The sequence below is a fragment of the Homo sapiens genome, chromosome 1, assembly GCF_000001405.40.
Source record: "Homo sapiens chromosome 1, GRCh38.p14 Primary Assembly".
In the NCBI taxonomy this organism is placed as follows: Eukaryota; Metazoa; Chordata; class Mammalia; order Primates; family Hominidae; genus Homo; species Homo sapiens.
In genome coordinates, this window is record NC_000001.11 from 97972714 (window position 1) to 97991698 (window position 18985).

Consider the following 18985-nt stretch of genomic DNA (forward strand, 5'->3'; position numbering starts at 1 on the left):
TCTTTACAATTTATAAGCTATATCAGAAAATGCATATGTATGATATTTTAAAATATTACAAATAATTAAATTCCAAGGCCAGAAATGAAAAAAGGATCTTAAGAGTAATTCATATTGAAGACTACCTGGATGAGAGTTTTTAAGTAGGCAACTAAGCAGGGTTATCTCTAGACTGTTTAATCTTTCCTTAAATTTATTTCCTGCAGTGTCTACCTTTAAAGTTTCAAGTTACACATACCGTCTGTCATCATGATAGACACAGTGGCCTCTGGCTCAGAATTTTCTATGAGAGCTTTCTGAACAGTGGGGCGTATAGCTAGCATCAGTACTCATGTTAACTTATCAAGAAGTTTTGAAGAACTGAAGCCATGAATTTAATCTAATTCAGGGGAGTGGGTTAAAACTTCAAGAAGTGCCCTTGAGCTTCTATATGTGTGTGTGTGTGTGTGTGTGTGTGTGTGTGTGTGTGTGTGTGTGTATATATATAGAGAGAGAGAAGCTTATATATATCACTGTAGGAAACAGTTTTTTTCTAAACTAATCATACAGAAGGAATTTACTATTCAAGTATTAGTAACTGTTTATCTTCTTCACAAAAATCTAATAATATTTAGGAGAAACCATTTCATCTATAAAATCAGTAAAGTCATTTTTACAAGTCCTCCTCTCCTGGAATTTTGATGAACTATTTGAAACGCTTTCTAGGATGTTAGAAATGTGAAACTGTTCTATGTTCTATATACAATAGGCTGAATTAAAATACTACAGTGTTACCATTATTGAAGTTTACTATGTACCAGGAATCATGTAAAATATATCATCCTATGAAGGGTTTTCAGAGTCTTACGTGAACCTGTCGTATTTAATTTTACTTTTCAGATGAAAAAAAAATCCCTTTAGGTTCATAAAGGTTAGGAAACTTGCCCAAAGTCCAGTGGTGTTCTGGTAAGCTGGTACATAGGGAATAAAACCATGATTGTCTGATTTAGTGTGCCAATTTTAGAGGTGTAAATAATCTCATCTTGGCTGATTTCAAACTACCAATTATGTCACTGAGCACAATGTTGGGAAGAGATGCACACAATCAGCTATCATAAACCAGTAGGAGGTGGCTCTGACACATGACTGCCAAGATCACAGATATAATAGGAAGTAGGAGAGCCAGGATTTGAGCTACCAGTTGTCTACAAAGCCCATCCTCTAAATCATCATACAGTGATGGCTTCCTAACATAATAAACTAGTCACCTGACAAATCATAAAAAATTATGAATGTCAATAACATTTTTAATTTCAGAAACACAGATATCTTTTACACTATTTTGGAAATTAATACAGGAAATGGTTTTTCAGAATTATACAAGTTATATGTTAGACGTCAAGGAAAAGTTTTATGCTTCTTTCATTCCATTATCCTCTTTTTTTCCTTAAGCTTTCACAATTTCTTTGTGTTATTTCTTATTTGCATTTTATTGCCACATTTCATCTTAAAATTCTTATGTTTGGCCCCCGACAAATTTCTTTGCTGTTTTAGACTGTTTGCTGCTGCTGTTTCCTTTCTTTTTTCTTTTTCATCACATATTTATTTTTTTCTTACCTTATGGCACAACTTTCACATTTTGACTTGTTGGTTCTTCAGCATTCTGGTTTGAGCAAGTAAGAAGATGGATAGGAAGTCTTATTACTAAAATAAGGTGGGCTCACATTTTAAAAATTATTTACCCACTCTGTATCAGAGATTTTTCATCTATAAATGGGGATGACATAATACTTACCTTGTGCTATATAAGTTGTTGATCAACTAAAATAAAACAAAACAATAGACTATACAAGAAACACATATGGAAGCCCTGAGATAGGGATGATACCTTGAGAATGCATAAGATCCAAAATTATTTGATGCAGATACAAAAAAACATTTGATGATTGATAGGGACTCATTTTAACAATTTGGAAACAATTGAACTTTTCAAACTGATAGCATTTTTTTCACAACATAAATAAAATTGTACTTGGGTACTTTCTTCATTTAACCGATTTTACACCAAGAATTTTTATCCTTTGTTAAAATAATAAAGGTACTCAAAAATACCATTTAACATTATCATGGATTGAAAGAATGATAAATGAGAAAATCTATTTTTCCCAAATTATCTTACATGTGTTAAGCTTTAAAAAATAAGAAAAACAATTTTGCAAATTGGTATGAATTTCTATCTGATTGGTTGAGGGGAAATTTATGAAAGCATACCTGTGATGACAGATCAATGCATGGCTACACTACACCAGAGCAAGCACAAACTTTAAAAACTCATCGGAATTTTCATAATTTCTTCAAATGTTTGAATTGAAGTGAGTAGATACCCAGCAAATTTTTCTCATATGCTTCTGTGAAAATATAAAGGTATAAATTAAATTGGTTTTTCTTTTTATAAAATGAGTTTCATTGTATATTTTTCTTCCAATGTAAAGACAGAATATATCCTGTGAAATAGCTAGTTGATAATGGATTGTTATCATGGTCAATAAGTTAAAAAAAAACTTACCTGTTGTCTGATGTGTCATTTTTATAAATCCATGGCAAAATCGAGTGGCATCTTGATTTTCTGTTGAAATTACTACTTTTATTATGTACATTATGTAGCATATCCTAGAGTTTTGAAGAGTTGTACAAAATGGTGAGTAAGAATTTTTTTTTTCTGAATGCATTTTCAAGTACCTCTAGGCAAATAAAAAATAATGGATAGGAAATAGAGACAATTTAGAAGACTGAGGTTCAAATAAATTAAAACCAGCAATAGAAGCAATATGGAACTCTGAATCAGGAAATACAGCCAGCAGTGAATTCGAATTAAATAGTGGTTAGTTATAATTAAACTTCAAACAAAATTTGTAAGTCATGTATAAGGCCACTGAATGGAACATATAACAAAGTTTGGATTTTGTGTATTTTTATTTACTTTTTCTTCCTCAGCTCCTACCCTGACATTGGTGTTGTTCTATGAGAAGCCATTTTGTATGACAAACAGAAGATAGTTTAAGACTATAGTAATGTTAGGGGCTAGAAAGGAATCTTGGGGAGAAAAAAATCATTAACTCAAAATTTAACCAATATCCTTCTAAAAGATGGAAAGTGATGATGATGGCATAATTGCTGTCTCAGCCTAAAGAAAACAAAACTATTGAACAAAATACCTCTGTTCTTTCCAAAGCCAAATGATTTTATTGACTATTCCAATGGCTTTACTTGTTAATTTCATCGCTCAGCAGACAGAAAGTGCACCTTGGAAATAACATTATCATATTGGCTTTTTTCCTTTACAATTAAAGAATTTAAATTTTTCTTCTGCATATCACATTACACTAGACATACGTATTATTTCTCTTCTAATTTTGTTGTTACTATAAGGTGTGAGCCTCACTTATTAATACATGGTAATTGACAGCTTCTTTTCTTTATTCAAGGAAAGAATGGGGATGATCAGTTTTTGCATAAAACTTTAGACTGTAGTAAAGTCTGTTTCTCTCAAAATTCTGGGTTACATTTTATTGACCTGTAAAGCACATGACATTTTAGGAGCTTGTAGTAATTTATTTTATCTGTAGGAAAATGTATCACTGATGAATATTAAATCTAAACATATTCTAGTTTAAACAGATGGTGAAACAGAAGTAGTGAGAAAGCTAAATAAATAATAAATAAATTAAAGAGAAGTCAGGATTAGTCACAAAGTGAAAATGAAAGCTCTAATAATGACAAGGTTGTGAACAAAACATTTAAAGAAAATGCAAGACGCATAGCTTGGATATCTAAATTCTATTTCTTCATAATTTTCTTGGCTTCATTTTATTATGAAATTATCAAATTTAGCTCAATGAATATAAAACATGCTGAACTTATGAGAAGTGCTACCAAGATTATCTTGCAACATAAACATCAGTTTTGTGGATCCTTAATATAACCTCTATATTGTCAAGATGTTATATTTAATAGTTCTAATCCTTCAATGAAGACTACTATAATTCCCCAAAGTTAACTTTATTTGGTTATATAAACAAGCCATTTCAATATTACACCATGCTTTTTATTTTAAGCATTTTATTTTTATATTAATTTTAATTTCCAGAAAACAGTTGATAATGTTTAAATTGATCATTTTTAGGGAATGCATGGTTTGTCATAAGCAACATAAATAAACACATTAATTGCCTTGTCATACTTTTATCTGACAGATGGGTCCCCAGGCATAGAGCCTAACCTTTTATTTTGACACCTGCCACATTTTGCCAGCCCTGACCCTTTTTTCTTTGCCAGAATGTCACTGTGTTCACCATGGTTGCACTAATCTCCAGCTTTTGAAAGGCTTAATATTGGAACCCTTCTGAGAATCACTGCTATCAATCAGCTGATACTACAACATAAAGATTTCACAGATCTATCCAACATCCCTTCTCTCCTGTGATTCAAGCACATTTTCTCTTATTTCTATGACCTACTGGCTCAGTAAGATTACATGGAGCTTGTTTTAATCTAAAGCCGCATATTGTTAACATCTGACACAAACCATTTAATTTAGCAGTAATTTAAAATTTAGAATTTACTGAAGAATAAAAAAAGAAGCTATGATTTCATTTTTGTACTAAGAGAAACTTTTAAACTGTGAAGCAAATATGCTATTTTAATATAGCTAAGGAGTTAAAATCTATCTGAACATTTTCCTTTTTAAAAAAAAAGAAGCATCAAGCAATAAAACATGTTTTGAAAATCACTGTGCACTCAATTTCATACCTACACCTTTGATTTCTGGGGTGATTCCAGAAGCCATTAATATATGATGTGTGTCTGGGTTAGTGCAACTAAAAGCACATGTCTGGCCCATTAAAGAGTAGGGGTTGGTTCTAAAAAGCTCTGCAAATCGGAGAACATACAGCGGGCAGATGAATTGTGGGAGCTCATCCATTATTGAGATAATTTGGTATAAATTTTAAGATATTTCCTCCTTGAGCAAAATCAGACTATAATTAACTATGAAAAATGTTGTAATTATTCTTTTTTTGTGACTAAGTTAAAAACAAAGAAACTGAAAAGTAGGTATGTAGGAGACAGATTTTAGTAGCAAACAGAAGATAGTTCCACCAGATCAACACAGTTTGGTTTACAATCTCATTGCTGAGATGTGGATGCCAATAACTTGTCTTTCAAATATGGCTTCTATTGGTTCTGAAATAAGCTTGTTTGGCATAATAAGAAAAGCCTGGGACTATGTCCTGGTTAAGCTAAGCTTCTTGAATAATTCAGAGACATATTTGTGCCAGCTAGGATATAGATGTACATTGTAAGAAGTGTAGGATCTGTATCTTAGGACATTCAAAGAAAATGATGTTTCATGCCTTGGGCTAAGGGGTACTGGGGGTAATTCTAGAATTCTAGCAGCTTTTTCAGCTTCAGCACAGTTCTTTAATCTTTGTTGTTGTTGTTTTAGATGGAGTCTCGCCCTGTCGCCCAGGCTGGAGTGCAATGGCGTGATCTTGGCTCACTGTAACCTCCACCTCCTGGGTTCAAGCGATTCTCCTGCCTCAGCCTCCCGAATAGCTGGGATAGGCGTGCGCCTACATGCCCAGTTAACTTTTGTATTTTTAGTAGAGATGGGGTTTCACCATGTTGGCCAGGCTGGTCTCGAACTCCTGACCTCGTGATCCATCCGCCGCGGCCTCCCAAAGTGCCGGGATTACAGGCATGAGCCACTGTGACTGGCCCAGCAGTTCTTTAATCTTTAGTCATCTACTATTAATATGACTCAGCTGCATTGCACATATTCCTCTATCTGCCCTGCCCCAATCCAGCTTTCACGGATTACTCAAAGTTTCTGCTCGTTCACATTTTAACCATGTCCCAAACCTTGGAATTTCATAGAAAATTTTTTTCTTCGCATATTATATCTAAGTCTAGAGACAAAAATACTGATGAGCCCAGCTCATCTTTTGCAGCCTGGCCACACAGTTCAAAAATTGCTGGCCAATCTATTTTTTGGCCCCACTCCATTCAGCTGTAAATTTAAAGAGTTAGTGTTTGGGTTGGGTTAGCGTTAGGGTTAGATCCTGTGTGAGTAAACATAGCAATTTAGATGGCAGATGTTCTGGATGAGGATGATTCTTTTAGAAGGGATATGTCATGATTGACACAAGCAACACTGAAAGTGTGATCCAGAGACTGGAGCTGTTCCATGTGCTATTTGTTATCCAACCAAAACAATAAGTACATTGAAATTAACAATTTAGGAATTCTTCGTCTTATTTTTTTATTTTTCTAGTAGTTCAATTATATTACTAAAAAATAATGGTTAGCAGCATATTGGGGGTGGGTGGGGAGTTGGTCTTTCAGTGCAGATACTCTGAGAGAAACTGGATTAGAAGACTCCTAGACTCTAATTATGGCACCTCCTTAGCCAATTAATAATGATCAAATCTTTATCATCAAATTATAATTCTCTGAACACCAGTTTCCTCCTAAATAAACAAGGACTATCATGGCAGTCACTCACCTTTCCAAGTTATCAGTCATGAGAAGACACAGGAGAATGAATTTTGAAAAGCTGCAAGAGGCTAATCAGAATTAAGTTATAATAGTTTCTTTATAAATACAAGCATACATATATATCCATATACACGTCACATGGGAGAATTAATATCAATACTCAACATTATCATAATAAATATATTTATTTTAAATCTTATCACTTTCCCATATAAAATGTAAGATGTGGGCAGTGTGGGTTTTATTGCTTGTTTCTGTTGTATTTACTAGTTTTTACAGAAGGCAATTAGAGAGCAAATTGATAAAGATGAACTTAGCACTCTGTTCTCAAAAAGTTTACAGTTAAATCACTGCATACAAAAGTTAAATAAAAATATTAAGCAGCATAACTCTAAGAACTATTGAGAATGAACATATTTAATAAATTAATGATACAAATATTAAAGACCAAAGATATCCAGAGGAAGGAGAGAGGATTCAATGCTACTGTGGCCAGAGAAGCATAGGCAGGATTTATACAATGTTTTGAAGAATGGATAAGATTTAGAAAGATGGAAAGGATGAATGGGGTTATTCTGGGTAGAACAAAATTTTCAAGCAAAAGTCAGAACATCTATGTAAACATATGTGTGAATATGTCTGTGTGTGTTCTGATAGAGAAACGTCAGAAAACATATGAAATTAGAAATATAAATAAAATTTAAAATCTTAAAAATCATATTGTAAAATGAAAATTTAATTTTTTTAAATTTTTTGCCACCAATAGTATGATAGTAAGTTATTAAAACTGGGCTCCTTGAAATAAAATTCCTTTTGTATATATATATATTTATATATATAAAATTTACTGTCATATATGTGAAATGTAAATGTTACAAATAAAAAGTAATGTAACAAAGAATTTTCTCCAAATAAAACACAATACATTATGTTAAATGATTTTTTAATCTCAGAAACAATGCAAAGAATAAAAACACAATTTTAAAAATATTAGCAAACTTTCCAGTGACCTTCTGACATTTCAATCTAATGCAAAGACACTAACTAAATAACAGGAATTGCTTCTTCTGATGGGCAACTATATGACCTTAGCAATTTTATTACTTTACAATAGAGTCACAATAATTAAATTACAGAATATTTCAGAGGATTATGTAAATTTGGACCACTGTACCTACAGTGCCTCACTTAGAAAAGTCCACCTAGTAAAAATACCATTATTTTAAGAAGTACTGTGATATTAATAATGCAATCTAGTGATTTCAATACAGGCTTTCAGTATTTCAGCATTCAATAATGTCATATTAATTTGAAGTCCAAAGTACTGGTAATTTTGTTAGTATAATATTGTTTTATTATTCTGACATTTATTACATCATACAAGTAAAATGAATGATTTCATTGTTCAATTTATACAAAAAAGACAAACAGACAAATGGTCCACACATAATAAGCAAACATACTGTGGTGCTGCAAACTTGTTTTGCAGGAATAAGCCTACTCTGATGGCACATGTGTTAAGACAGTGTTGATAGGGAGAGCGGTAACTCTGCATAGGTATTTCCAAGTACACAAAACAAAAGACGGTAAATACAAACTGGAAATGTTAAAAAAAAAAAGAAATAAAAATTATGGGTCTAACTGAATTAAAAATATTCCAGTTCTTGAAAAGAAAAAAAGGTAGTAACAAAGATCTTGCATTTATGAAAAAAGTAGGATTATCTGAAGATGAAGGAATCAAAGGAAAATATCCAGAAAGAGTTTACAGTGTCCTCTACAGCGTTTCCCTGAGCAGTGTAGATGTTAAAAGAATTTCTGGAGCAGTTAGAAAAATTACAACAAAATGGAGCAAATGAAGCTTTGCTTCTTTACATCACAAATCTGTAAAATCCAAGAATATTATTTTGCTTTCAATTATCTTAATTGTTTTTTCCACTTAATCTACTATTTTGTTTGCTATTTTAATAATACTTTAATTGACTCTGAATAATTTATACTGGAATGATGTTTAATATTCCCATACTATGTACTATAATTTTACATTTTTGCTTTTTGCATTCCTCCTTGTAATATATTCATAAAAGTTTGTGTTTGACATGTATGAAATATTTATTTATTTTTATTTTTGTTATACTTTAAGTTCTGGGATACCTGTGCAGAAGGTGAAGGTTTGTTACATAGGTATACACGTGCCATTGTGGTTTGCTTCACCCATCAACCCATCATCTATGTTTGGTATTTCTCCTAATGCTATCCCTCCCCTAACCCCCTCACCCTCCAACAGGCCCCAGTGTGTGATGTTGCCCTCCCTATGTCTGTGTGTTCTCCTTATTCAACTCCCACTTATGAGTGAGAACATGCGGTGTTTGGTTTTCCGTTCCTGTGAAATATTTAGTTAGCTTTTTTTCATTGCTTCTTGATAATATTCATATAAACTACCAGAATAAATACTTACATGGTTTGGACAAATAGTGGAGGTTATTAGAATTTGAAAAATCAGTAATTTAAAATTCTTATACATAAAAAAAATCACTGGAGGTTTTTGGACATGACCAGTTATGTTTTGCAATAAGGAAGTATGTATAGAGAGTCAAGTTATATCACTGTATTTATATTCTAGACCAACATTAAATAAGACTATAAGCACAAAGTGAGAATCCAGAGGAGGATGCAGATGTAAGGAATACTGTTGAGGGAAAACCCACACAATTTGTCAACTCAAGACATGTGGGAAGGAGTCAGCGCCAGGCTAATATCCAAGCTTAGTTTTCTAGGATTGTGGTCCTAATATCTAAGGACTAGGAAAATGTGTGGAGAGAGAAGAGAGAAGCTTTTGGATGTGTTGCTTTTGTGGTGATGGTGAGATATCAGGTTGGCCTTATTTTTTTCTTGTATATCTTTTAATACAGTATTTCACCTGTCTTTTCCCCCTTATACTAGACTCTCAGTCACTTGAGAACTAGGGCTTTGTGTTATTGGTTGGTGTTCCCGAGATCTTCATGTAACATTTAATTCTGTCATCTTAATATATATGTTGTCAGGGTGAATGAACAAATGACTAAGGTAGCTTTTACTGACCATGTCTTTATCCCTGAAATTCTGACATCCTAGAGTAGGGGATCTTAAGATCAATGCTAATAAAGCTAATAAAAAGACTAGAATGTTGGTTCTCAGCCCTGGATGCACACTGGAATCACTGGGAGGATTCTGAGAAACACTAATGCTCCACCTACAGAGATTCTGATTTAATTGCCCTGGGTGGGATTCACTAAATGGTATTTTTAAACGTTCCCCCAGACAATTTGAAGTACACCCAAAGTTAAAAACTTTTGAGCTACAGAGTAAGTGTAGGCTGGGGAAACTTGAATTTTTAATTTAGTTTAAGATTAATTTTCATATACTATATTTACCCCAACAATCAAATCCACCCAAATTAATCTTCTCACTGTCTCTATGCAATGGAATTTAATACCTAATGGATAATGTACATAGAAGAAAGAATTGATCTTAATAGAAAATTTGACTTTTAAAATCTGTATGTAATTATCTGAGATTAGAATATTCAAAAAGAATATGTTGCAGGACCAGAAAGCAAACCATCATAATTTATGCCTGGGATTTTTATTCTATTCATGCAGTTATCTATTCATTTAACCAACATTTATATTCAATTATGTTTTTGTTGGCTAAAATTGGAATTTTAATTAGTACCAACATGATTCCAAATCAGGCTATTTTAAATTTTAGAATGTATTGATCCTTAATACGCATTAGGTGATTATTAACAGTATTGATTATCTGGAACCCTGGTAAGACCTTCAAGGTCATTACGGATTTTAAATCCTCTAACTATGCTTTAAAGAGCATTACACTGCACTTACTGACTTACTAAGGGAGTGGATCCAATTGAAGTAGACATTTCTAACTTTAATGTTCTTATTATTTTGTCTCGCTCTCTCTTTAAACACAGATATAACACATATTTCAAAGTACTTTTTACATTTTACATCTCACCAAACAGCCAATCAATATTAACTAATCCTTCTTGTTTTAGAAAGTAATTGAATGGTTTTAATATCAAATTTGTTGACTCAGCAATCCATTAATTCATTTTGGAATATTAACTGATTTCTTTTTCCTTCATAGGTTCCTGAAGTGAAAGAAGAAAGTATTTAGTTTTTTGTTTTTTTGTTTTTTTTTTTCTGAAACCTGTTTCAAAAAATCTGAAGCCTTCTGGGAATGGAAAGGACTCAGACTATACGTAAATATTTGAGAGGGCAGTTCCTTAAAATCTAAACGTGTACCACTCTCCTACCCCCGCCCAGGCTTGCTGAGTGTACAGTAGGTAGATGGAGATGGAAAATGCTATAAACAAGTTCTCTCTCTCTCTCTCTCTTTTTTTTTTTTTTTTTTTTTTTTTGAGATGGAGTCTCGCTCAGTCGCCCAGGCTGGAGTGCAGTGGCGCGCGCGATCTTTGCTCACTGCAAGCTTCGCCTTCCGGGTTCACGCCATGTTCTCTGTCTTTAGAAACATACAAGGGATGGAGTAAAGTGAGCCACGACAAAGAGGAAATCAGCCAGGAATAAGGACTATGCAATAGATGATTGCAAGCATGGGCGTGAGAGCCAGGCAGCCTGGGTTAAAATCCCAGCTCTGATGCTCACCAGCTGTGTAACCCAAAGCCAGTTATTATTGTTGTCTAATTTTCCTAAACTATAAAAACGGGAATAAATGGACTGCCCACCTCATTAAACTGTTGTAGGGATTAATAAGTTGTGGGTGCTGGAAAGAAATGGAATCTTACCAAATCTCCCATCTCCCCACATCCTTCACATTTTTTTCCTCCCTGGGTTTTTAAGATCCTGCCTCATCCTTATTCCCTCCTACCACTTTGATTATTCTTCAAACTCAGCTTGTGCAAGACCACTGTCTTTAAGAGCTGTCTTCTGGACAACTCTCAGTTTCATGGCATCCTATGAAGTCCCTACCACCTGCTTAAGAAACTTCAAGCTTTGTCTCATACTGTCTAAGCTGATTTTTTTTCATATTTCTTTGCTCAGTTCCTTTAGATGGACCTTACACTTGGATGGCTGACTAGGCTTTTGATTTGGCATATTTCTTCTCAGTTTTTCATTCTAGCACCGCAGTGCTTGCTGTGGATGACTGATACTCAGCCCTCTGCACTGGACCAGGCATCCCAGATTCTGCCCAGGCCCCAGGTCTGGAAGCCTCACTTTTCCCCTTGGGATGATCACACAGCCTCCAAACTAGATTTCCTTCTAGACAACCACTGCTTAAAGGATCAAGGACCCTCTGGTTTTCTTATTCCCCACATTCACCCAATCTCCTTTTCCTCCATGATTTCAACATTCATAAATAGGCTAATGGAAATAATAATTTAAGGTTGATTGAGTGCTAACATGTACCAAGCACTGTATTGAGATAGATAGTATTATTTCCCTCAGTTTGCAAATGAGGAAACTGAGGCACAGAAGTGGTGGGTAATATAATCAAGTCACAAAGCAAAGGAAAGACTGACAGTCCCAGTCCCTATACTGGTGTATACTGAGTACGAATTTTAGAAGCAGAGTCACTGGGTGGGAATCCTGCTTGGTTTGAGATCTGCACGACCTAAGGTAAACTAGGAGGTCTGTGGCTTGGTTTCTAGTTTGTAAAATGGGGATAATTATGCACATCTCCAAAAGTTTGTTTATGTGAGTATTAAGGGTACTAGCATGTGCTGAGCAATTAGTACCCAGCACTTAGAAAGTGCTTTAATAGTTATTATTATTATTATTATTTTGTTTTGTTTTGTTTTTTTGAGATAGGATCTCCCTCTGTCACCCAGGCTGGAGTGCAGTGGCATGATGTGAGCTCACTGCAGCCTCAACCTCCCAGGCTCAAGCGATTCTCCCACTTCAGCCTCCCAAGTAGCTGGGACCACAGGCGCATGCCACCATGCCTGGCTAATTTTTTGTATTTTTCGTAGAGAATGGGTTTTGCAATGTTTCCCAGGCTTGTCTTGAACTCCTGAGCTCAGGCAATCCACCTGCCTCGGCCTCTCAAAGTGCTGGGATTACAGGCGTGAGCCACCACGTCCAGTCTATTTATTATTATTATTACTGTATACTGCCTCTCATGATGTCCAAATCACTATCTTTGTTCTGAATTTCTCAAGCTCCAGGCCTATTTATCCAACTCTACTAGACACCTGCATATTTCATAAATGTCTCAACTCACTATTATCTCCCTAACTTATTATTCTAGTATAACTTACCTTGGTGAATATCACCATCACACCAAGCACAGAAGTCACTCAAGGCTCCTCCTTTTTAATCAATTAACCTCAGACATGGATTTTCCCCATATTTTCCCAGCCTTATATCTTATCCATCTTCCTTCTGCTCACCGTTACCTAAAGCACACTAAATTCCAGTAATTTTGAAATACTGAATGTTAGTTCATTTCATAAAAAAAGGAACCCCAAGGGAACCCTACTATATGCTAGGCAAGACACTGATCATGCAAAGATGAACAGGACCTAATCTCTGCCTTCAAGAATTTCACAGTCTAATTAGGAAGACAAACACATTAACAAACAATTGAATACAATGTGGCGAGGGCTTACAAAACATACGCCAGTGTATTAAAGGAAAGTAGAAGAGAGTATGGACCACCTGGTGAAAAAGGCAATATCAGAGCTCAGTCTAATTTGACAAACAACATGGTACCAGGCTCTGTGCTAGGTGCTGGGGGTATTGTTTATGACTTGGAGAATCTATGGGAAAGGAAAGCATCAAAATATATTTTAATATAAAGTAGTGACTGCTAAGACAGAGGGAGGCACAGCATGTTCTCAGAATGCAATCAAGATATTTGTAGTTTAGGAATAAGAAACTTGGAGAATAAGTCAGGAAGTTTAGTGATTGTTCATACAACTTCCTCTGCTTGATCTGACTTCTCTCATTTTGTTTTCCTGGAAAAACCCGTGTCTAAGACTCCAGTTATTACCTTCAGTTTGAAGCTGATCCCAAGTGCTTTTGATCCTCAATGTCCTGTCCACCCCACCCCACCCTCAGCATTTTGTCTCTCTTTGACCACTGATCTGTGAGAGCAAATGTAACTTATTTTCTCAGCTTAATTATTTACACAGCCATTTCCTCTCAATCTATTATCAAGTGTGTTGTGGAGAGTTTGCCGTAAAAAAACTCATATTTCTTAGAGTAATCCAATGAATTATCACATTATTGTTAAATCACTTGTTACGCATATTTTCTTCATTGAACATATGAGCATTTCCCCAGTGTTTCCTATATGCTGAACACTGAACAATCATACCTACTAGAGCTGGTGAGCTCTGATTCATGTGGCATTTTTGTACAATCTGGAAAGGAACTGTATTAGTCAGCTCAGCACAAAATACTGTAGACTAGGTAGCATAAACAACAGAAATTTATTTTCTCACAGTTTCGGAGGGTGGAAGTTTGAGATTGGGGTGCCAGCTTGATTGGGTTCTCGTGAGCCCTCTTCCTGGCTTGCAGAGGCTGCCTTTGTGCTGTGTTTCCACATGACGCGCGCGTGTGCGCGCGCACACACACACACACACACACACACGGGGAGAGAGAGAGAGAAAGAAAAAGAAAGAGAGAGAGAGAGAACTCGCAAGCTTTCCGAGGTTTCTTATAAGGGCACTAATCCTGAGGGCCTCACTCTCATGATCTCATCTAAACCCAATTATCTTACAAAGACCCCATCTCCAAATACCGTAACACTGGAGGTAAGGGCTTCAACACAGAATCTGAGCAGGGGATGGGAGGACAGTTCAGTCCAGAGCATTCCACCCAAGACATCACCCACATGGATTTGCAGGATAGCCCCATCCTTTCCACCCTGTGGGATTGCCAGCCCCACCCCCTAGCTCTGACAGGCTTGAGTCCTCTGAGTGGTTCTGCCTCCAAAGAGCTGAGTGGAGACTGTCCAGCCTGTTGAAACTGAGGCTGTGGCTCTGGCTATCTCTGAATTGCCTTTGGGGCCATTTTTTCCTCTCCTTGAAAAATAGTGCAGGTTCACAGCCAAATAAGCAAATCAGCCCATCATGTCTAACCCAAGAAGTCTCGAAGCCTTCATTCTTTTTGTCCCATCTTCATCCCCTTCAGTTCAAACTGGCAGAATTTCTGCTCACATAATCTCATAAACTCTTATCAAATGGTTGTCCAGTCACACTCCTAGTGTTATTTTCAGAGCAAGTTTTTGTCATTTTTTAATAATGTGGATAAGCTGAGAATTTCCCAAATCTTCAAGTTCTGGTTCCTTTTTGCTGAACAATTTCTTCTTCAACTTATCTTTTTTTTTTTCATTTCAGCAGAAATGGTCAGGAGGAAACCAGCTGCTCCTTCATCATATTGCTTAGAAATGTCAAATATTTAATTTCATCACTCACAAGTTCTACCTTCCTCAAAACACTAGAATACAGTTCACCTAAGTTTTTTGCCACTTTGTAACAAGGATCACCGTCCTTCCAGTTTCCAATAACATATTCCTCAATTCCATCTGAGGTCTCACCAGAATCACCTTTACTGTTTGTTCATATGTTTAGGATGCACCTGAAAATTCTTGAGCCTCTACTCACTATCCAATTCCAAAGTCATTTCCCCATGTTTAGGTATTAGTTACAGTAGCACCCCCATTTCTTGGTACCAAAATTTGTCTTAGTTCAGGGTGCCATAACAAAATACCATAGACTGGGTGGCTTAAATAAGATAAATTTATTATCTCACAGTTCTAGAGAATAATGTCCAAGATTACAGTACCAGCAAAGTAGATTTCACTCTGAAGCCTCTTCTGTTTTCTCATAGGTGGTTGTTATCTCACTGTGTACTCACATGACCTCTTTGTGTGCCTGTGGGGTAAGAGGGAGAGAGGGCAAGCTCTCTGGTGTTTTCTCTTTTCAGGGTACTAATCAGGAAGGCCCCACACTCTTGACCTCATCTAAACCTAGTTATCTCCCAAAGGCCCCATCTCCAAATACCATCATATTAGAGATTAGGCTTCAACATTTGATTTTGGGGGGACACGATTCAGTCCAAAGCAGGTGCCCTTCCTCAAGACAGTTTATGTCCATCTGTAGGCAATTTGTCATAATAAACTAATTTTAACAGAACAGGGTGTTCCACTGTTATCTGCCAGAAAATGGTTGTAATAAATACTTAAATCTGCAAATTGTACCATGTGAATGCTCCTCTGGAGTTACACAGTAAGCAACCTGAACAATTATTCACCGTAGTCCAGGTTAATCCTTCCTTGTCCTCAACTGACAATTTTTATGTATGGTAAGGAAAATAAATGCTTCAAAAATCTGTTAAATCAGAAATCAGAGGTTTAGATAAGTAAACTATTTACTCCAAAATTATTACAAAGAAAGACCATCTTAATAAGTAAAGAATGTAGTATATGGTTTCAATTTGACAAGACACAATAGTGTGTGACTAAAAAACTGGGCTATAAATAGAGCTTTTTGCTAAGTTTGAGTACAGTAATTATTAAGAAAATCCGTTATTTAATAAAAGCAGCTGAGAACCTGTCAGATTCAAAATCACAAGGTTGAAATTGACTAAATAGGTCCATATGTTTGTAATCCTGTTTCCAGAAAGGACCTTCCTTAAATCGCCCAAAATAAATGAATACCTTGTTAAATACAGATGAACAATTCATACTATAAAATATCTTCCCTAAATTTAATTTCAATCCATGGTACTTAAAATTTAACTTCGTTTCTCTTGTTCTGTCAATGTCTGAATAAATGTTGCAGCAAATATGAAGTGCCTAGAATGTGGCAGGAACTCTGTAGATGGCAAAACAAAAATTAATTCATGTAGAACCCTTCTTATTAATGTATTTAGAATACTTTTCAGGCTTCCTTCTTTTCTGGCAAGTTACACTTTTAACTTTGTACAAGCAAATATGAATCATCAACTAGTTGATTATACAGTCTGAAATTTTCTTCTTCAAATATGAATACAGCAGATCATAATCTTAGGTTTCTATTACAACACATACTGCAGACATGCAAGATTTAACAAGAAAGTAGTAACAATGTAAATAGCATTGCTTTCAAATCTACAGAAAATGGCTTTCTAAGATTTGTGCCAATCATTCATTTTTAAAAATTGGGAATGCTGGCCAGGCGTGGTGGCTCACGCCTATAATCCCAGCATTTTGGGAGGCTGAGGCAGGGGAATAGCTTGAATCCTGGATGCAGAGGCTGTGGTGAGTCAAGATCACGTCATTGCACTCCAGCCTGGGCAATAAGAGCGAAACACCATCTAAAAAAAAAAAAAAAAAGTTGGGAATGCCTAGATTTAATAATTTGAGGAAATTTTTTAAAAAGAAAATGAGCAGTGCCTTTTCATCACCATGGGCTCCTTTTACCTATTCTCTTTTTCTTAATTATTTCATATCTTCTAATCTTTTCTCAATATTTTACAATAATTCTTTTTCCATTCAGCTTATCTACACATAAAAGTATAACACATAAGAATTTCCCACAATTATCTTTTCTTTCTTTCCTTCAGATTATTTCCTTTGTCATAGATTATTTTAGATATATTAGAGAACTTAATGTGTTTGGATTACTTCAAGAATAATTGTACATTGGCCCAATTCTGTATTGACTGGTTTTCTTCAGTTTTATGTAGTCCTACTAAAAGCAGATTTTTAAATTTTAGTTCTTAACATTTCATGTGCAGAATATTTGTGCTATTTCATGGTAGTTTTATTTTTAATTATGTTGGCGTATTTTGTGTATTTCCAGTTTTAAAATTGTATAGAAAAAAGGATCCTCAACCACTGCACTATGAGAGTAGGAGGGGTGCTCTTATTTTCCTGGCTCTTCGTCACAGCCTTCCCTCAGGAATGGAAATCATGGTGGCATAACTGGAGAGCAGCTCATCAGGCACACAAGCTTAGGGAATCCAAGGGAAGAATGCACTGGTTAATTGTGGGTCAGCATAGAAAAGAACATGATCATGTCCTTTGCAGGGACATGGATGGAACTGGAGGCTATTATCCTTAGCAAACAAACTCAGGAACAGAAAACCAAAAGCCACATGTTCTCTCTTATAAGTGGGAGCTAAATGCTGAGAACACATGGACACGTAGAGAGGAACACACACTGGGGCCTTTAAGAGGGTGGAGGGTGGGAGGAGGCAGAGGATCAGGAAAAATAACTCATGGGTACTCGACTTAATACCTGGGTGATGAAATAATCTGTACAACAAGCCCTCATGAAACAAGTTTACCTATGCAAAACAAACCTGTACTTGTACCCCTGAACTTAAAATAAAAGTTAAAAAAAGAAATATGATAATTTTCTTAATTGCATGGAAATGTAGTAAGAACAAAAATTCTTAAAAACGACTAAAATTTATACTTCTATAGCAATTAACATAAACATTTTTTAAACCATTCATCAGTTTATTTTCACATACCCCCAAAAGATTCAAAAAGCGTTAGTCACACTTAAATGATTTGATTTTTTTAAGTGAATCAAACAACTTTTTTTTTTTTCCTGATTGCATGAACTGACCAGGTGTTTGATGACTTTTAGCAGATGTTGACAATATATTGATATTACTAATGCCAACACTTTTTTTTATTTTTTATTTTTTTGAGATGGAGTCTTGCTCTGTTGCCCAGGCTGGAGTGCAGTGGTGTGATTTTGGCTCACTGCAAGCTCCGCCTCCCGGGTTCACGCCATTCTCCTACCTCAGCCTCCCGAGTAGCTGGGACTACAGGTGCCCACCACCACGCCCAGCTAATTTTTTGTATTTTTAGTAGAGACGGGGTTTCACTGTGTTAGCCAGGATGGTCTCGATCTCCTGACCTCGTGATCCACCCTCCTCAGCCTCCCAAAGTGCTGGGATTACAGGCGTGAGCCACCGCGCCCAGCCTACTAATGCCAACACTTTTGATAAAATGTTGAACTGAGGTTATTATAAACTCACCTTTCAATTTCTCATTAAATATGAAAGTTCATACTTATTTCCTTGTTTCTTGAAAATATTCTTTCAAACTATGCCAACTCTCTCGAAGTGGAAGAAAAAAGCAAATTTACTTCCTTGACTTTACCAGATGCCATGTTATTCAAAAGTTGTTTTTCTTTTTGTTTTATTTTGTTTTCAGGGAAAAACCCATCAATCTAAGCAGTGAAAAAATGGAAAGACTCCATGATGTTTTTTAAGTATAGCTACAACATAAATGAGAGTTATTAATCTGCAGCACACCAATCCAACTCCTAAATTACATAATAAACAGGTTTTCTGTCACATATAGCCTCTTCTCTTTGTTAACACCATTATAATACTGCTAATATCTATAACTTGGAAAACGAGGCATACAAGGTTAGGATGTCTCTGATAAACAAAAAAGCTTTTAAGATGGGGCCTTCATTGTT

The 18985-nt window shown here is 35.5% G+C and overlaps 2 long non-coding RNA genes across 2 annotated transcripts in view; both read right to left on the reverse strand.

The window, feature by feature from the left end:
• Positions 1-1535: 1535 nt before the first annotated feature.
• LOC124904227 (uncharacterized) lies at positions 1536-5508 on the reverse strand. The gene is made up of 2 exons (XR_007066240.1): positions 2546-5508; positions 1536-2387 (listed from the first exon to the last, which is right to left on the reverse strand). It is a non-coding gene; the product is annotated as an uncharacterized LOC124904227 (long non-coding RNA).
• A 9778-nt stretch (positions 5509-15286) lies between these two features.
• The window catches only part of MIR137HG (MIR137 host gene), a 61694-nt gene continuing 57995 nt past the window's right edge, over positions 15287-18985 (reverse strand). Inside the window, exon 5 of the long non-coding RNA NR_046105.1 lies at positions 15287-16856. This is a non-coding gene — a long non-coding RNA (MIR137 host gene). The remainder of the gene's footprint in view (positions 16857-18985) is intronic.